The following is a 20,862-nucleotide window of genomic DNA, read 5'->3' as shown; positions in this document are numbered from 1 at the left end:
GCCTATAATATAACATGTGTTTCACTATCTGGCAGTTCATTTAATAACATAGGTCACTACACTTTTGTGGGCAATTGGTGAATATTTAGTTATATTTATTATTGTACTGGATTTTAAGCTTACAAATACTTTAAATTTCTCTATCAGTATTTAACCTGCATATTTAAAACCAAATTGTTTAAAAGTCACAAGGGGAAAGAATTCACATAGTACAAATTATAAATACAAGCAGATAAACAGATGAAGTCATTTTTCATCTTATAGTTACTGATATGGTTTGGCTGTGTCTCCACCCAAATCTCATCTTGAATTGTAGTTCCCATAATCCCCACATGTCGTGGAAGGGACCTGGTGGAAGGCAGTTGATTATGGGGGTGGTTTCCCCATGCTGTTCTCATGATAGTGAGTGAGTTCTCATGAGATTTGACAGTTTATAACGGACATTTCCCCGCTTTGCTTGACACTTCTCCATTGTGCTGCCATATGAAGAAGGACGTGTTTGCTTCCCCTTCCACCATGATTTTTAGTTTACTGAGACCTTCCCAACCCTGCAGAACTGTGAGTCAATTAAATCTCTTTTCTTTATGAATAACCCAGTCTCGGACAGTTCTTTATAGCAGTGTAAGAATGAACTAATACAGTAAATTGGTTCTCAGAGAGTGGGGTGCTGCTATAAGGATACCCAAAAATTTGGAAGTGACTTTGATACTGGGTAACAGGTGAGGTTGGAACAGTTTGGAGGGTTCAGAGGAAGAAAGGAAAACAGGAAAGTTTGGAACTTCCTAGAGACTTGAATGGCTATCCCTAAAATGCTGAAGAAAGGGAGTAATTCAGACATATAGGAGAGACAGAGAGAGAGAGACCAGAAATGAAGAAGGATATTATATCTGGAGCTTAAATAGCAACCTTATACATGATTACTAAAATAACCTGTTGACTAACCCAAGCCTTGCCAATTAATTACTTAAACAAGATAGTCAACTACCTTGATGGATTCTTAGTAGCACCTCTGAAAGGGGAGGTTAAGAGCAAAATATTTTTGAGATTGTTGGATTCTAATTTAAGGCAGAACTTTCCATGTGGGAGGATTAATTATCACTGGCAAAGTTTCTTGCATAATATACAGTATTGGGGTTAGTAGAAACAGAATTGAGGGTTTGAAATGAATATTAAAGAATAAATAGTTTAATGAACACAGTTGAGTAACCTATCATTCTGATAAAAGGACCTTTTACTCTGATGAGAGCAAGTTGAATAACCTATTTTTCAGCTGTGGAAGATTTTACAATGAACAATAAAGTTATCTGTCTTCCTGGGAAAAAAAAGCCTTTGATACTAGATTTATGTTTCTGAGCCAGCCTTTATTTTTCACCTTTTCAGGCTATGTGTCCTTAGTCTAGATTTCAATTTGCACTATGAGTTAAGATTTGGAAATGTAAGGACCAGTTTTATATAATCCACTCTATAGCATGTTAAGGAACATATGTCCAATGCACAACAACATCATTGCTGTCTTTTAATGAGAATAATAACTATGCTTACATTCTACAAATATTGTTCCAGCTTTTGGATACAAAATGGATCAGAAAGTAAAAAGGAAAAAAATACGATGTTTTCTGTTTAGTCTAGTTCTTCACTAGGTTGAACATAACATTACTTTCTCAAACTATAAGATTGTTATATTTCTAAAAAATGTTTTGTATTTATAAAATGCCTAAATTTCAATATAAACTAAGAGTAACAGGATTTTCTAAAAACCACCCTTAAAATATAAAGAGATATAAAACACAAATAACAGGGATCATGAGCCTTTAAGAAGCATTCTTAGAGCGTTGCTTCTTGAAACCAGCATAAAATTACAATGCTCCTGTATTTTACGATTGAATGTGGAATCTTTTACTCTGAAATAAAAGAAGTGACCAAAACTGTGTTGTTATAACTGTTGACTGCCTTGTAATAACTAGAGGTATGAGAACCATTGGCTTCATTAGCTCTCTCTTCTCAGGAGATTCCCTTTTATTTTTTTAAGTATGGTTCCCCTGTGTGAAATTAATGACTTGTCAATCTCATCATTCAGAACTTGGTTAAGAGAAATTTTGTTTGTTTAACAATGGAAAGAGGAAGTGGGTGACAAATAGAGAAGTTATTGTAATTGCGCGCGCACACACACACACACACATAAATATATGAAGGTTTGGATTAGCATGGAGAACGTGATAATGGAAAGACACAAATGTTGCATGCCAGATACTAAAGTGTGCATAGCGAGTTTTTAATTCTACCATTATCTCCTTTGCTCATTTTTGCAGGCTAATGGATAAAAATAACATCATAAATCATCCTGAAATCATGCAGAAATAATTATCCTTTTTATTCTATTTTATTTTTACAATGAGTAGATTCATAAAAGTTTTCAGACCTGTGAAAGTTTTCATCCACATCACCACAGCCAGGCCTTGTGGAGTTCTAAAGCCCACCTTTGACACTTTTACTCTCTCTCACCTTCAGCTATGAAGAGATAGACTGTACTGTCACAGAATGTAGGGAACTTCCCATCACTGTGGTTGTCACACTTTGGCAGACTGATCACTTGATAAGGATATTGCTCAATGAAACATTGACGTTTTTATGCCTGAGATATTATGAGAATTTATGGTAGAATAAAAACATTTTTAAAAACCACTCTCCTCAGGATAACATTTTTTACTGTCTTATTTGCTATTACAGTTTAGAACAGATGGGATAAAGTGACCTAGAAGCCATGATAACTTTCTGAGATCCAAGATTGATACCGATCGTGACTATGTCAGTGGCCAGGAGTCGTAGCAATAACTCCAAAGAGTGGTAAAGACAGAGGAGGTTGAGCTAATGCCAGAGGCTGATTGCCAGTCCAAATGTCCTTGTGTGTCACCATCTGGCACAAGTGTTAAAGGTTGCCAACCCCTTAAGTTAGAGCATTCATATGTATCAGCCGGTTTCCTGTCTTCTCTGATCACCAACAGATTAGTTCAAATACTACATTTTATTAAAATATGGTGCTGAGATACTCTGTTGTTATGAAAATAACACTTATAGTAACTTGTTTAATTGTCCTGAGAAAATGAGTGTAACACTCATTTAGACAGTAAATCAATGCCCTTGTAAAACATAAAGGAAGTATCATCTTTTGTCCTATAATGGCTTCCTGGCTTCCTGTAATCATGAACTTGCATCTAATCAATAAAAAATACAACTTTGTTAGAACAAATTTTGAAAAAAAATCCCCAGACTTTCAATAACATATATTTTATTCTAATCCATTACTTTAAGGTTAAATTAATGTAATAATATCCTTATAGGTTTAATTTATCATATTTTGCAGGGCAAGCCATTGTCAACATTACTAAAAAGAAGTTCTACCCTGTTTCTTTCTATTATTATTTGATAGAAAACTCAGTTTGAAATTTTGACAACTGGGCAGAAATAAATAAAAAGTCTTTTTTTCTCACAAAGCATAGTAAAGAAATATACTGGAATTATGACATTCAAGGGACTCATCTCCATAAAAGAAAAATTAGCTCAAAAGGGAGATTATGCTAAAGAAAGCATGAAAAATTAGGCTGTTTTTGTGATTTTAAAAAATATCCTTTAATTTTAGTTTCTTAAAAGAAAGTGATGTTGGAATTATGAAGTTAGTGAACAAATTGAGTGTATTGAACTAATAATGTTTTGCCATTGCCCAATCTCGATATGAATATGCATATTTTATTGTTAAAATGAAAATGACTCTCCTCATTTGCATATATCTGGCATTGAAATAATATCATTGTAGACACAGTCAAAATTTATGATGCAAGTTAAAAAGTGACAAGGACAAAAGATGAAATTGGTAAAAGAGGAAATGATTGATTTTTTATGGCAATTTTTCAAAAAGCTCAAGGACTAAATATAGAATAAGTCATTTCATTTTAAAAATAAAAGTCTTTGAGGATTAGTTGAAAACTTCTTTCCAGGGTATCTGGAAATACAGCTGACATTAGTTAAGGCATTTATAGTAGCTGAATTCTGAGTGTCTATAACACTATTATACCAACATGTAATAGAAAACTGAACGGAGCCTACCATTATGAAAAAACCTTTAGTTATCAACTTGGTAAGATAAAATAAATAATAACTAACATTTGTATGACAATTTTCAGGTTTCAAATATTTTCCCAAATATTTCAAGAAGATAACAAATCTAGAGAACAAATATATTATCTTCAAGTACAAAGGAGAAAAGTTTAAATATAAATAACTTGGAAATGTGTCAATTTATACAATATAAATTAAATAATCTATTAGAAAAATTATTTTCACCATAATTATTCTTCCCAAAATGTTTAAACAAGACAATTTCTACAAGTATTTATTTTTGCCTTGATTCATTATATATATCTTGCTGAGACATAAAGCTGGATAAATCTAAAATCACATTCCGCTACTTGATAGTGGTAGGAATTGGCATGATTTAGAACTTTTTGATAAGTCTTTCTTCTTCTTTTCTAGTTCTATAATATAACTATATTTTTTAAAATATTAAAACATGTCTCTCAAACAAGTGGGACTCTGTCACAATTTAATTTAACTAATTAAATAAGGAGAGTATGAGATATGCAATTTTATGGATAAATAAAAACTTAGAATATGACTGCTTTATTAAATACACAATTGGTAAAAGTCCAATTAAGCCATAAAAACTATAAACATTGGCATTATCTGTTTCAACTGACAGGAATTAATACTGAGTCATTACTGGAGAAAGTCTGTAATTTAGCAGGTAGCATTACTAAATATGAGACTTTAAATTAATAGTAAATAATTAATAATACTGTGTCATTTTTCTAGACAATTTTCTAGACTTCTAGATTTGCCTTTCAATATATAAAGCTGAAAAAGATCTTTTTGCATTATCTAAGTTTCAGATAATTTTTGGACTATTTCTCACTTTGTGATCGTAAGTAATCTCTGAAAATTATTATTAACCACAAAAAGATTTGACTTGATTATTTACGTAAGTGTCACAAGAGCACTAATTAACCATATAGGGTTTCTTGGGTTTGCTCTACAAATCTGGAGCCATTCCATATTGAACAAGTTCAAATGTCAGAGAAGTAATTTGTCTGGAAATTTTGATACTGGATGACAGACAGGACTTGGAAAAGCCTCTCTTAATTTACTCTTCTATCCTGAAGCTAGGAAACTAATCTTAAGAAATCTTCCCTGCCAGATTTCACCTGCACTACTCATAAATTGGGTAAATTCCTCTTTTCTTGAGTTCCTCCAAATGTGCAAATGTCCCTTACCTGCCAGGAAATAACCACTTTTACCATGTGTGAAAATAGGACCCTGCAAACCAGGTGTCGAGTCAGAGCAGTTTGTGCCAACATAGTGACATTTCCATCTGCCACATGACAAAGCATTTCAGAAAATCCTTGGTGAATACAGGCTGAAAGCACCAGCTCCACACATAAAGTCAACCTTTATTTTTTAATAGTGGACTTGTCATGCCTAATTAAATGAGAATCATTATCAAATGTGGCACTTCAGTTTGGACTTTGTTACTAAATCAATTTGTACCGTTATATACTGGTAAATAGGAAGAGATTTATTGAAAGATGCAAATAACTCTATTGCCCTAAAATGGAAGGAGGCTCAGAAAAAGATTTGTTTCTGAATTCAGGATAAGGATGAGGATGAAGGGGTGAAGGAGTCAATGACAAGCAGATACCATTAAAAATGTTCTATTTCAGCTTTAAAAAACATTGTCTAATAAATGCAGGGTTAGCAATAGCAACTTCTTTATGTATTCATAAAAATATAACATTAAAAACATTATTAACAATATTCAAAAAAGTAACCACAATTAAATTCCACTCATTGTTTAGTCCTGAGTTTAACAGAAAGTATAGCATAAGAGTACATTTTATTTTTATAAGGTTTGAACTTATTTTATCACAAAGTGTTTTACTTAGTACAAACTTCCTAAATGTCTTATATAAGTTCAGTAAAAAAAATAAGCTTTTATTACTCATTTACATAGTATTTAAGATTTGAAAAGGTATACATAGTGTTAAACAAAATTGAATAAAATTCTGAGACACATTTTTATGCAGGAATTATATTTGTAGTGTATTAGCACGAACATTAAGATTTTAGTAACTCAAAAAATTAAGTAAATATTAAATGAAGTTAATATATGAATAGTCTTTGGATATCTATTAAATTCCCAGTAATATTAAATACCAAAACATTTATTACTGTGCATAATTTAAATGTATATATCTCACTTCTTATTTTTCTATATTTTCAAACACTATACCCTTGAGTTCTGTTACGAGTTCCCTTTATGTCTACACTAGATACATTCTTGTTTTGCTGGATCGTGTTTCAGCAGCCTGCTTTTGTGGAGTACCTTCACTTCCGGACTAATAAAATTTCTGTTTATAATGATTCTGTCAACTGGTCCAGTTTGAAAGTTGCCTAAGCAATGCTATTTTAGAAGCCTGTATTCAACAGACTAATTCTTAATTATCAATAGTTCAAAGTACCTGCTACAGTCCTATCCACAATGCACTGTGATTGTCCTTTTATTGGTGAATACACAAGTTCTAGCCTGAAACTTGTAGCAGAGCCTCGGGCAGTCATTAGAGGGAAGTAAAAATCTGTTTGATAGTGATACTAAATGACTGTGGTCAATTTATTACAGTCACCAAATATCAGAAGGGAAAAGATTAAAATTTTTTATGGGATACTGTATATAGGTATTTCCTAGAATTTGATCATTGTTTCTCATGAGGGATAGGAAGTATGGAATCTTTCAGGTACTAATAAAGTGTACAATTCCTAATATATTTATATTAATATTTTAGCTCGACAAACTTTACCTAGGGTAGCGTAAGCATCCCTTCAGATTTCACAATTCCTAAGGAAGTCTCACAATTGTATTGGGCAAATTTTAAAATAGGGAGCAAACCAAACAAATTAATTATTTCTAGTGTTTCTTTTTTTCTTTTTTCTTTTTCTTTCTTTTTTTTTTTTTTTTTTTGAAACAGAGTGTCACTCTGTCACCCTGGCTGGAGGGCGGTGGCACGATCTCGGCTCACTGCAACCTCCGCCTCCCAGATAAAAGTGATTCTTCTGCTACAGCCACCTGAGTAGCTGGGACTACAGGTGAGCGCCACCATGCCCGGCTCTTTTATTTTTAGTAGAGACAGGGTTTTACCATGTTGGCCAGGCTGGTCTCGAATTCCTGACCTCTTGATCTGCCCACCTTGGCCTCCCAAAGTGCTGGGATTACAGGCATGAGCCACTGTGCCCAGCCTCTAGTGTTTCTTTTTATAAAGTGAAAGAGCAGATCTGTATGCTATTCCAGGCCTTTGGGAAAACATAAAACATACCTTTAAGTGTAAAAATATTCATTATAATTTCCATTTGTTCTGAATGGAAAGCCTGATCTGGGGACAGCACAATCAAAAGATACATCCCAAGATATTTGGCCACTAGATTAAGGTAGGATCTTGGATGCATGGGCATTGTAATTTTAAGCAAGCTTACCTCTTCCATATGTGAGAAAACTTTGTTCTATTTTTAATAATGAAGGACATGATAAAGTCATCTCAATAAAGATAAAATTATTTTTGTGGATCATGGATTTTTTTGCTATCTGGGCAGATTGCACAGAAGGTAAAATGTTATTGTTTATTAACAGTAAGAAAGCCAAATTCCAGTTTGGCATTAATATTTGGCAGTTAGTGCTTCGTAACATTTTAAATATAAGCACATTAAACTGAGCCAACTTTGGCAAAAATATTTACACAACACTTTGTGTCTTTACAGATCTAGTATTTGTAAACACTATAAACCAAAGCAAGTAAAAATCCCCATTCTGCATATATGGTGAGCTTTCTCACCCATTCACATCTGGCTTTTCATTATCCTCTTTCATATTACTGAAAAGATACTGTAAGACTACTTTCTTTACATTTTGATTTACAAAAATACAGATTTTATTATTTTGTCTACATATTCATGCTCTTCCATCACCGTTTTTCCCAGTATTATCTCAATATCATATGAATTATAGCATTTAACCAAAACAATGATATCAAAAATGTCAATGTAAGAAAATTATTGTTAGTGTTTCATTGAGAAAAGTCTGTCATATGCAACCATCTTAGCAGACTATCGAAATTCATGAATACATATAATACATTTTTTACTTCTATATATATTTTATTTTTTCAAAGTGGGAAATGGGTATCTTCGCTAATATGCCTCAGACCTATAGTCGTGTAAAAACATATAAAAATAAGAAAAATGTACAAATTAGAAATTGTTTTGATATTCAGTATTACTGGGAAATTTTATAGATATCCAAAGACCATAACTTTATTTAATATTTACTCAATTTGGGGAGTTACCTAAAATCTGAACAATAATGGTTGTGCTAATACACTACAAATATAATTTCTGCAATAAAACATGTTTCTCAGAATTTTTATTCAATTTTGTTGAATGCTATGTATAACTTTTCAAGTCTTGAATATTATGTAGATGAGTAATAACAGCTTACTTTATTAGTAAACCTATATAAGATATTTAGGAAGTTCAGTCTAATTAGGACACTTTATAATAAAGCTATCTTAAATCTTATAAAAATAAAATAGACTCATGCTATCTTTAACAGTGATAGCAAGGAAAAGACATAAAGCTGATTTTTAAAAACTTTTTAAAACCAAGATTATTAAACCATTCTGATCCATTTCAATTAAGTGAATCTGGGTTCATTAACTGTTTCTGAGAAAGCAGTTTTAGTAAGAAGGATTTCATTTTAGCCAAGCACTTCATTATATTACAAATTATATTTTCTTAACTACTGTGAATTTTGGAAATATTCTGTAAAAATCAATCTGAACAGCACTCATTTAATAGAAGAGAGGTAACAATCAAATTTATGAATGCACTCCAGAAATAGCAAAATACTTTATACTCATTTAAAGAAAGGTAATGTCTTTCCTCAATGACAGATACAGAGACACGGAGAGAGCTTACATCTTCAGAGCTGCAACATTAGCCATAGATAAAAGATAAGCCTAGTCAACAATTCACAGAACTGGTCTCCTTAAGAGGAAGCAAAATTCTCAATTCATTTGAACATACTAATAGATAAAGAAACACATACACAAAGAAAAATAAATGCAGATCAGATCCTTCATGTGATAAAGACTTGATTTCCATTATTCACCTGATACAGATCATCATCAAATGGTAAGCCATAATATTCACTTTCCATTCACGTTTTCCACCATTGGAAAATAACTAGCCTGCATGAAGCAGAAACAAAAACATAATCATCAGCTGAAGAACAAAAAAACAAAAAGCAAAAGCCTTGAGACACAAGTCTGCAGTTCTATGCGGCTTGTGTCCAAGCTTAAATAACCCTTTACATGTATACACACCTCCAGTCACGTAGTTTATGTGGCTCCATCAGGTAGGTCCACTAGCATATGTCAGTGGTTGGCCTACCAAAATTTTAAACTTTAATTTTCAAGAGGTCCAAAAACATGACTACAAGTACATGTAAAATGGACATGTTTCAAATACTGTATTTAAATTGTTCATTAACAAGAGAAACAGAAAATACTGAAATTTATACAAAGAACATTTGAGAAGAGGAAAGGAGATGAGAGGAGGGGAGTGGTGGGGAGAGGACAGAAGAGGGATAGAGATTGAGTCATTAAAAATGTAATAACTGATCTTGTAGAATAAATTAGGCATAATTGTCTTAATCATTTCTCTTAAAGCCCTTAGTAAGCACAAAGCAGCTGAGGCCTGCCTGTTCACTAAGTATAACAACTGGTGTGTGTGTGTGTGTATACACGTGTGCATGTATATGTGCATTTTCAAGAAAATTTAATTTGAAGTCTATAAATTAGGGCTTTTTTTTTTTTTTTTTTTTTTTTGAGATGGAGTTTCACTCCCAGGCTGAAGTGCAAAGGCGTGATCTTGGCTCACTGCAACTTCCGCCTCCCAGAGTCAAGGGGTTCTCCTGCCTCAGCCTCCCAAGTAGCTGGGATTACAGACATGTGCCACCACACCCAGCTAATTTTGTATTTTTAGTAGAGATGGGGTTTCACCATGTTGGCCTGGCTGGTCTCAAACTCCTAACCTCAGGTGATCCACCCGCCTTGGCCTCCCAAATTACTGGGAGTACAGCCACTGCGCATGGCCAGGGCATATTGTATTCAGGACTCTGAAGTCCAGACGTCCCCAGTATAAAAATGTATACTTTTAATACAAGAGATAATTCATTTTATCAGTAAACAAATGGAAACAATAAGTATGACTTGTTACTATGGGCAAGTTACTGTGCAACTATTTAAAAATTGTTCTGTTCTGTAGATTCAACTATACTGAAAAGATTCAGAAAAGGAATTAGGGCAACGTCTCATCTCTTGGAGGCTGTTTAGTAGAAATTCATAAAAGTCCCTCACTAGATCAAGGAGTTTTTTTGTTAATTAATATGAGTGGAAGATCTTGGTGCACACGATCCTGGAAGACACCTGGCCAAGCATGAAATGGATGGGAACCAAAGAAGCACAGAATTAGACTAAACTGAGAGAGCTCGACAGAACTTTTCAGAACATTTGGCATAACTTCTTATATTATAGTTGAGAAGTTTGGAGAGAGATAGGTTAAATAACTTTCCTAAGTTACAAAACTCAACCTACAATGGAAAAAAAAATCACAAGCGTTATTCTCTCCAAGTCCACTTTCTTTAACTTTTTTTTGACAATTATATTCAACTGATGTTGTGAGAATACTATTCTCTGACAGAAATTCTCATCTGTATCTCAGGAACACTTCATGGAGAGGAATAAACCTGAGATAAAGAAAGTTGTTGTTTATTTTTGGTTTTGTTTTAATGAAAGCATCTGATTGAAGCCAATTTCAGCAGCCAGACAGAGATGGCAGACCCAATACTGATGTTTTGCCTGAACTGGCCATCTGCCTGGCAAAGGCAATCAGAACTACAAGTTGAAATAAGATGTATTATATGGTACAATCTGAGTTTCAGTTACATAATAATAATAATAATGTGAATAAAATCTAACAGATACAGAGGCAGTGTGTTGGCACAGGTTCTTTGCGTAGTTAATCTTATTTCACAGTAACTTCATGAGATAGACATTATGATCATTCCTATTTTTACAGATGAGGAAATGAGAATTAAAGAGGAAAAAGTATTAGACTGAACTGTTTTGACCTGTAATTTGACCTAGTAATGTCCCTGTTACATGAATACAAGTCTACCAAATCCCAGAATTACAGGATACTGGGAATTGCTTATTGTCTTACTACCTCAGAAGGTCCCTGAAGGAAAGGACCCATTGCCAGAAACTCAGTGACCAGGATTTCTGTTTTCCTTGCTATTGCACACATGTGTTGTCATTCTATGTACATTGGTATTCCAGCAACCCAGAGATTTCTGAAAAATGAAGTTCTTATTTTAAAGAATCTCTATATGTGCGAGCCATCTAAACTGTATAAGCCATTATCCAGGCAAGCTCTTATTTTACTCCCATCAGTTTCATTATTGATCTCATTAGATAGTTACTTAACGCATTGTTCTCTTTAAAATTTATTTTAAAACGAAGATAATTAGTTATCTGGGTCACATATAAATCAAGTTTTTGAATGTTTTGGTTTTCGAACCACAGAGCCTTGGCTATGTAACTCTAATATGATTATCGCTGTGTGATGACAGCTACCTGAATAACAGTCTTAATTGTTGGAATGGAAGTATGAAGAGGCCAACCTTAGCCAATTAATTCCTATTTCATTGCAGAAAAAAATATATAGCCAGTGGTTTAGATTAGCGTCAATTTTGTTGGGCCACTTAGGATTTCTTACATATGATTAACACCAGATAATTTTTTGGTTATTTATAAGCAACTAAAGGAGTTTACTAATATAAACAGATATACTCTCTTGCTCATTCATCATAGTTCCACACTTTTCATCTCTCTTGGAAATATAAATTACATCTAGGAGATTAAGAAATTTGGTATTAGAGTAATAGAGATTTAAACTTTTGCCTTTGTAATTGATGGCAGCAGTTAAAGGGGATGGCAACCCCACTTTCCTACTGTTTCATGGGCCACTGGGATCAAGCGAGGCAGTTATCTTTAGATGTGAAGAGCAATGGAAGACTAGTACATCAACTTTCAGCACTATCCCATTCAGACACCAAGCAAGTCTCACTTCTTTCACCTCCAAAGAAGCATCAAGTATCCTTGATGTCCATATCAGTGAACAATATTTAGAAATCTCTATCTCTCTTTGGCTGTTTCTTAGCAAAGATTCCCTGAATGTTTCCTTTATGAAAGCCACTATGAAAGGGAACATGTGTGGTAGTGGTTTTCCTCAGAGTTGTCGGAGAGGTTCTGTTGTCCTGAAAACAGAGCTAAACTAAGGGCATCACCAAAGACTGTCTGGTTTTATGAGTGCCTTTTGCCTATTGGGATTTAATTATGCTTGTTTATTTCAGATCAGATTTTCTCACTGTACTTTTCTCTCAAAGGAAAGGTTAGCCTTCAGCAGATAAATGGGAAACCTTGGAAAAATATCAGAAGAATGCTTGAATAATTTTTTAGGTCTACATAAGGAGAATACTATAAAAAGAAAATAGAATAGCACCTGTGGTAGTAAAGAAGCTATACTTGTGCGTATACAGCCATGCATCCCATACCAATGTTTGAAACAATAAATCACATATACAGTGGTGGTCCCATAAGATTATAATGGAGCTGAAAAATTCCTACTGCCTAGTGACATTGTAGCCGTCATAATATTGTAGTACAATGCATTTTTAATGTGTTTTTGTGATGCTGCACTCAATAAACATAAATATACTGTACTTTTAGTCATATGAATATAACACACAAAATTATGTACAGTACATAACATGATAATGACAATAAAATAGTATGTTACTGTTTTATGTAGTTACTATACTTTTTAATAATTTTTTAGAGTGTACCTTTCTAGATTTTTTTAAAAGTTAACTGTAAAACAGCCTCAAGCAGGTCCTTCAAGAGGCATTCCAGAAGAAGGCATTATTATCATAGGAGATGACAGTTATTGACCCCGAAGACCTTCCAGTGGGACAAGATGTGGAGGTGGAAAACAAGATATCGATGATCTTGATCCTGCATAGGTCTAGGCTAATGTGTGTGTTTGTGTTTTAGTTTTTCACAAAAAAAGTTTAAAAAGTTGAAAAAAATTAAAAATAGAAAATGCTTATAGAATAAAGATTTGAAGAAAGAAAATATTTTTGTACAGCTGTACAATGTATTTGTGTTTTGAAGCCAAGTGTTAAAATAGAGTCCAAAAGGTAAAAAAATTAAAAAACTTATAAATTAAAACTGTTACTGTAAGCTGAGATGCATTTGTATTAATATAACTTTTTAAAGTAAATTTAGTGTAGTCTACATGTGCAGTGTTTATAAAGCCTACAGTAGTGTACAGTAATGTTCTAGGCCTTCACATTCACTTACCCTCATGCACTGACTCACGCAGAACAACTTAGAGTCCCGCAACATCCATTTATGGTAACTGCCCTATACAGGTATACCATTTTTTACCTTTTATACCACAATTGTACATACATTTTCTATATTTAGATATTTTTAGATCCCTCAAATACTTACCATTGTGTTACAGTTGTCTACAGGATTCAGTATGGCAATAAGCTATGTAGGTTTATAGCATAGGAGCAATAGGCTATACCATATGGCCTAGGCATGTGGTAGGCTATGCCTTCTAGGATTGTGGACGTACACTCCATGATGCTTGCACAATGATGGAACCACCTAGTGACACGTTTCTTAGAATGTATCCTTGTAGTTATGCAATGCATGATTGTACTTATTAGAAGAGTATTTTTCAAATAGGCATTAAAGCATCTTCATATAAAGGTTTGCCATGATAATCACATTTCTTTTGGAAAGTCTGTTTGTTAAACCTACAGCAACTGGTTTCCTGTTTCCTGTTGCTGCTATAAACATATTTCACAACCTTAGTGGGCTAAAACAACACAAATGTATTGCCTTATAGTTTTGGATATCAGAAGTCTAAAATGAGTCAACAGTGCTACATTGTTGTGAAGTCTCTTGGAGATAATCTGTTTTCTTGCCTTTTCTAGCTTCTAGAAGCTACCTGCATTCCTTGGTTCTTGGCTCCATGCTTCCTTTTCAAAGCTGACAGGGAACATTTTCAAATCTCACTTTGCTTTCTATTCCTGCTTTTAGGAACCCTTGTGATTACATTAAATATACCTAGATAACCCAGAGTAATCTTCCCATCTCATGATCCTTAAATTACTCACACCTGCATAAGTCCATTTTGCCATGTAAGATAAAATAGCCATTGATTTTGGGGATTGGAATATTAGACATCTTTCAGGAGTCATTTTGTCTGCCTACCACACCAGTCCTTTATCAGTTGTTTCTCAACAACATATGGTGATATGTAATTGTTTTCTGAGTTACACGTCAACCTTTCTTGTTCTCACTTTTATGTTTATCTCACTAAACTCACTGGAATGAAAATGTTGTCATATCTAGTGGAAGAAAGAGAGAATAATTAAAATATCCAGAAGACATTACAGAGGAAGGAGTAAAGAGTGGATGAGAATGAGAATTAATAAACCAATATTTGGGTTACAAATACAGCTAAGGTAATAAATTTCTAGTGTAATGCTTTAATTACAACTTGTAAGATTATATTTTGTTAGTTTCCATTTGCTGTATAATAAATTATTTAACAAACTAAAACAACATACATTTATTATCTAAACATATTCATGCGTCCATGAACAAGTTAGTATGGTCTTCTGCTCAGAGTCTGACAAGGCTGCAATCAGGATATCAGTTCAACTGTGTTCTGCCTGATGGCTTCACTGGGAAATAATTCATTTCCATGCTCATTCATATAATTGGAAAATATATTTCCTTGTGAGAGTATGACGGAGAGACTCTGATTCTTATTGGCTGTTTGCTATGAGGTAGGAGGTGGGACTCAACTCAGAGGTGTGACTCCGACACCTGATCAAATTGAAAACTAGCTAAAACAGGTCTAGGAAAGCACTTCCCCATAAGACATGCCCACCAGTGGGCCATGTCAGTTTACCATTGCCATGGAAACACCCAGAAGTTACTACTCCTTTCCATGGCAGCAACCTGACAATCCAGAAGTTACCACCCTCATCCTACGAATTTCTGCATAAAACCGCACCCTAACTTGCATATAATTAAAGAGGGAATATATATATATATATGTTCCTCCAAGCTGCTCCTCTGGGCACATTACCTGTGAGGTAACCCTGCTCCACAAGGAGCAGTACCTCTATTGCTGCTGTACACTGCCACTTCAACAAAAGTTGCTATTTAACACCAACAGTTTGCCCTTGAATTCTTTTCCTGGGCAAAGTGAGGAACCCTCCCGGGCTAAGCCCCAATTTGAGGGGCCTGCCTGTCTTGCATCAGTTACAGTCACTCTGACAGTCTAGAGTTAGCCCCAGTTCCTGGCCGTGTGGTCTTCTCTATACACAGCTCACAAATGGCAGCTTCTTAAAGTCTAGCAGGAGAATCTCTCTATTCCAGTCTTCGAAGGAGGAGTCTTACCTAACGTAGTATAATCATGGTCATTATATCCCATCGCTTTGCTTTATATAATAATATAACCTAATTCAGGCAGTGGCATACAATCTCTTTTGCATTTTGGGGGGTGGGTAGGAGGTTAGAAATTATTTATGGATTCTTCCCACATTTAAAGAGTAGGAGTCATCTTAAGCTGTATCCACCACATAGACACATCGTTCCTTTAAAATAATACAGCATAGGTAATTTTTTTTTTTCTGAGATGGAGTCTCACTCTTGTTGCCCAGTCTGGAGTGCAGTGGCATGATCTCGGCTCACTGCAATCTCTGCCTGTTGGATTCAAGTGATTCTCCTACCTCAGCCTCCCAAGTAGCTGGGATTACAGACATGTGTCACCATGCCCAGCTAATTTTTTGTAGTTTTAGTAGAGTCGGGGTTTCTCCATGTTGGCCAGGCTGGTCTCAAACTCCTGACCTCAGGTGATCCACTCACCTCGACCTCCCAAAGTGCTGGGATTATAGGCATGAGCCACCACACCATGCCCGACCCAACATAGGTAATTTTTAATGTATTTTTATGCTCATACTATCATATAGTTAAAAATTAAAAGGTCATAAAGAGACAATAATTGACTATATCAAGAAAAAAGACAGAGGATGTCGAGCTTATAAGCAATTTGGTTATTAACAGTCCCATCAATTTGGAATGAAAATAAACAATTTAGAATGCTATTTTTTTTTAATCAATTCAACCATTTGTTCAAATGGCATTGTTAAGTGGTTAATTATATGTCAACTATCAAATGTTAAGTTACAAACATAAGCATAATAATAGTCACTGCACTCAAAAGTTCATAGTTTACTAAAATACACTGCTACTTAAAAACATAATATTATACAACATAGTCATACAATGGATGTGTTTTTGTGTTAGCACAAAAGAGGATAATATGAAACACCCTTGGTATCAGGAAAGGCCTCAGTGGAATTTACTTGGAGCTAGATTCTTAAGGATAAATCAACAGATTAGAGGAAAGATTGCATTAGAGGGATGCATGTTTCAGTCAGAGAGAACAGGACACCGAAAGTAAGAGAGCAAGTCATAGACTGGGATCTCCAAGAAACAGAGACTGAGATAAGAGATTTTGAGGAGGTATATAATTTGGACCTGATTCAGGCTGAAAAAGCTAGGTACTGGAAAAAATAAGATTATAAAAGGACACAGTAGTGAAAAAATTTATGTGAGAAATAAGGCTTTGACTTTGCAGGACCTTCTTCTAAAAAGCACAGAATGCCTCCCTGAGCTGTTTACCTGAAAGATGAAAAGTAGAAGAGTTTATCTCCTGACCCTCTATCCCCAGTGACTGAGAATTGCTCCAGGGATGGCTAGCTTTCCCCCTCGGCCCCCACCCAACCTTCCTGGCTGTGCTTGCTTATGGTCTGAGATGGTATTCATGGCACTAGAAAGATCCTGGAATGAAGCTGAAATGATCAAGAATGAATCATTCATGCTTAATCTATTGACCTTGCCAACACCATGCACAAGTATGAGTCATTCATGATCAAGAATAAGTCATTTATTCTTGATCTATTGACCATGCCAATACCTTGCCAATACCATGGGCAGTTTTGTGAGATGAACCTTCAAAAACTGCCCATGGTAGCTATTTCGAGGTGAAATGAGAAGAGAGCAAAGGGATATGAAGCAAGACACCAGAGATGTCTATTACCGAGACGAAGACAATAAGGGGTATTCAGGAATTTACAAGTAATCTAGTACAGCTGAAGCACTAGGTATGCAATGGAAACAGTGTAGAAAGAGAGTTTTGAATGGCAGTCCAGTGAGATATGAATGGACAGATAATTTGACCCAAAATATGATAGCAGAACTATAAATGGAAAGAGGGATTAAAAATAAGGCACTCATAATTTCACTATATAATTTATCAATATTTATATATTGATTATTTTTCATCTAGCATGATTCAATATATATGTTTCTGGATTGGCCATAAACACATTACTATAATATATGTCTGTGTGTGTATATAGACATATATAATGTGATAATATAAGCAGATGTTAATTTTATCCATTGAAAACTCATTTCTAATGATTTTATGAATCATTTATAACAAAAAGCTCAGTCAACATGATGCTGTGTGGCTTTAATAACGAGGTTAAAGTATCCTTATATCTTATTCCTGGGCCTTAGGTTACTTAACCTGTAGGAAGCCAGCCTCTATTTGAGAAGTTCATCTATCCTGAGACTGTTGTGTTGTGGTTGCAGGAAGTTCAAGCTGCTAGATGGACAGGTCAAATGAAGAAACAGATGCCTGACCACTACTAAGCTGTAACTGATACTGCAGTTGAGATACAAGATGTGAATCTAAAAGAAATCACCTCGGATGTCTAGCCCTGTCCTCAAATAATTTCAGCTCGGCTGTCTCATGACTACAACCATACAAGAAACCCCAAGTAAGGAAAGCCCCACTGAGCTCAGGCAGCACAGAAAACCAAGAAAGATGAAAATAAATCATTGATTTGAGCCATTTTCAGTCTACCACTAATAGCCAGAAAATAATAATCATAAAACAAACAAAAATGTGCTGATGATTTAGTATATTGCAAACATGAGAAGGACTTTGTAAACATTTACTTGTTCAATTTCCCAGCAATATATGACATAAACATCATAAATTTTATCTTTAAGATATATAATAAATGTAAGTTCAGGAAGTCTTGGCAACTTGCTGGAGGACGTAGAATTGGGCTTTGAATTCAGGTCAATCTGTATCTAATTCTGCTTTTAATCCCTTACCTATTAAAGTTTCAATAGCAATGTCCTTTAACAGAATTTATATTTTTCAAAGATATGTGAATCTAAAAGTTCATAGATGGTTGCTGGGCAAAGTGGTTCATGCCTGTAATCCCAACACTTTGGAAGGCCAAGGCAGGAAGATTGCTTAAGGCCAGGAGTTTGAGACCAGCCTGGGCAACATAACAAGACCTTGTCTCTACAACAAGTACAAAAAAATAATTAGCTGGACATGGTGGTGTTCACCTGTAGTCCTAGCTACTGGGGAGGCTGAGGCAGGAGGATCATTTGAGGCCAGGAGTATGAGGTTACAGTGAGCTATGATAGCACTACTGCACTCCAGCCTAGGTGACAGGGTGAGACACTGTCTCAATAAAAAAATAAAATAATGAAAGTTTATGGATAGGAAATACATTTCTATGGTATCAGGTTTTATATTTTTACTTTTAAAGTGGTGTATTTTTCAGTCATGCAGAGCAGGAAATGAATCTGTGAACAAGCAATAATGTCACTCACAGATATTATAGAAGCAAGTGCTTATATAAATCACTTTTCTAAATGTTTTATACGTATCTCACCTAATTCTCCTAACACTCCTATCATCGGAACTATTATTAGTCACATTTTAGAGATAAGCATTTGAGGCATAGAAGGATTTAATACCTCGCCCAGTTAGTAAGTGGCAGAGTCAGGCTCTGAACACAGGAAACCCGGCTATAAAGAAGCTTTAACTTAAGTAGCATATACCTTGCTGTGTAAATATATTGTAATGCTAATATTTTTAAAAAATTCTGACTCTTTGAAAGTTGATTGAGACCATCACCAAATACTAGTATTAATCTTTTGTAATTCTTGTACTCACAGCAGCCAACATATGGAAACAACCTAAATGTCTGTCGACAGGTGAATGAATAAAGAAAATGTGGTATATACATACAGCAGAATATTGTTCAGTCTTAAAAAAGAAGGAAACCTTACAATATGCAGCATCATGAATGAACATGGAGGACATTATGCTAAATGAAATAAGCCAGTCACAGAAGGAACAGACACTGCCTGATTCCAATCGTAGGAGATAACTAGTATTGTCAAATTTATAAAATTGACAAGAGAATGGTAGTTGCTAGTGGGTGAGCAGAGGGGAAGATGAGGAGTTATTGTTGAATGTGTATAAAGTTTTAATTATGCAAGATGAGTAAGTTCTAGCGATCTATTGTACAACCTTGTGCCTATAGTTAACAATGATGTATTGTGGATGTAAAAATTTGTTAAAGAGGATACATCTCATATTGTTTTCTTACCACAGTAAAAAAAAAAAGAAACAAATAAACAAGAATGTATATAGTACTGAAAACTGTATGTCTGATGATTAAAAATTAAGAATATCCTCAATACCACATAATTTACACAATAGATACAAAAGGTGTTGGCAACAAAGCATGTCTGTCAACTTGGCTTAAATTTTAATCATAATCTCTCAAAGTCTTGAGAGAAGGCTATGTTTTGTTCGTGTCATTGTTATTGTTGTTGTTTGACTCTAAAGAATAAATGAGATCTTGGTAAATTTTTGTTATATGCAATACGTATCTAAGGAACTACAAAAATCAACTTCTATTACTCTTGCCTAATTCTTTCTTAGTACATGATTAGATCTGTGTAGTACTTCATTGATCGTCTGCTGTGTAGGCAGCATAGGCTCAATGTTTATTGAATGCAGATTTACGATTTGTGAACCAAGAGATACAATGTTCTTTAATAGTATTAGAGTTTAGATTTCATGTGTCCTCAGTGTCAACAAGGACAGTGACATTTCTCCAAGACTTTTATTAGTGAGGTATAGCATCCGTGATGCTCAGTAAATGGAAAAGCAGTTACAATGTCAGGCTGAAGGAAAACATTGAAACCCACTTAGGAAACTTCATGTATAAAGACACCTGACTTTATTTTCTATTTCAAACCTGGGCTTGCCAAGTGTGGATTTACTGTGCATAAAAGCAGCAGTTTATTTGAATTGTGAAGTACTCCTTTAAAATGAATAGTTCTAATTGTATTATACAATTTAGCTCTAAAAGGCTATTATATTAGTGTGCTAGGGCTGCCATAACAAAGTACCAAAGACTGGGTGGCCTTAACAACAGACATTTATTTTCTCACAATTCTGAATGCTAGAAATCTGAGCTCAAGGTCTAAGTAGGGTTGGTTTCTTCCATGGTCTCTCTCCTGGCTTATATATAGCCTTCTTTTCTCTTTGTTTCCACCTGGTCAATCCTCTGTATGTTTTTGTCCTAATTTCCTCTTCTTCTAAGTTCACTAGTCATTAAATTAAGGCCTATTCATATGACCTTGTTTAACCTTAATTACA

The 20,862-nt window shown here is 34.5% G+C and overlaps 1 long non-coding RNA gene across 1 annotated transcript; it reads left to right on the top strand.

The window, feature by feature from the left end:
• The first annotated feature begins 416 nt into the window (after positions 1-416).
• LOC105370482 (uncharacterized) lies at positions 417-20,064 on the top strand. Its single transcript, XR_943835.3, has 3 exons — positions 417-558; positions 17,973-18,160; positions 19,365-20,064. It is a non-coding gene; the product is annotated as an uncharacterized LOC105370482 (long non-coding RNA).
• The last annotated feature ends 798 nt before the right edge of the window (positions 20,065-20,862 follow it).

The sequence above is a fragment of the Homo sapiens genome, chromosome 14 (assembly GCF_000001405.40).
Source record: "Homo sapiens chromosome 14, GRCh38.p14 Primary Assembly".
NCBI lineage: Eukaryota > Metazoa > Chordata > Mammalia > Primates > Hominidae > Homo > Homo sapiens.
The sequence above is the reverse complement of the archived record's forward strand: the minus strand, read 5'-3'. Positions and strand labels throughout refer to the sequence as shown.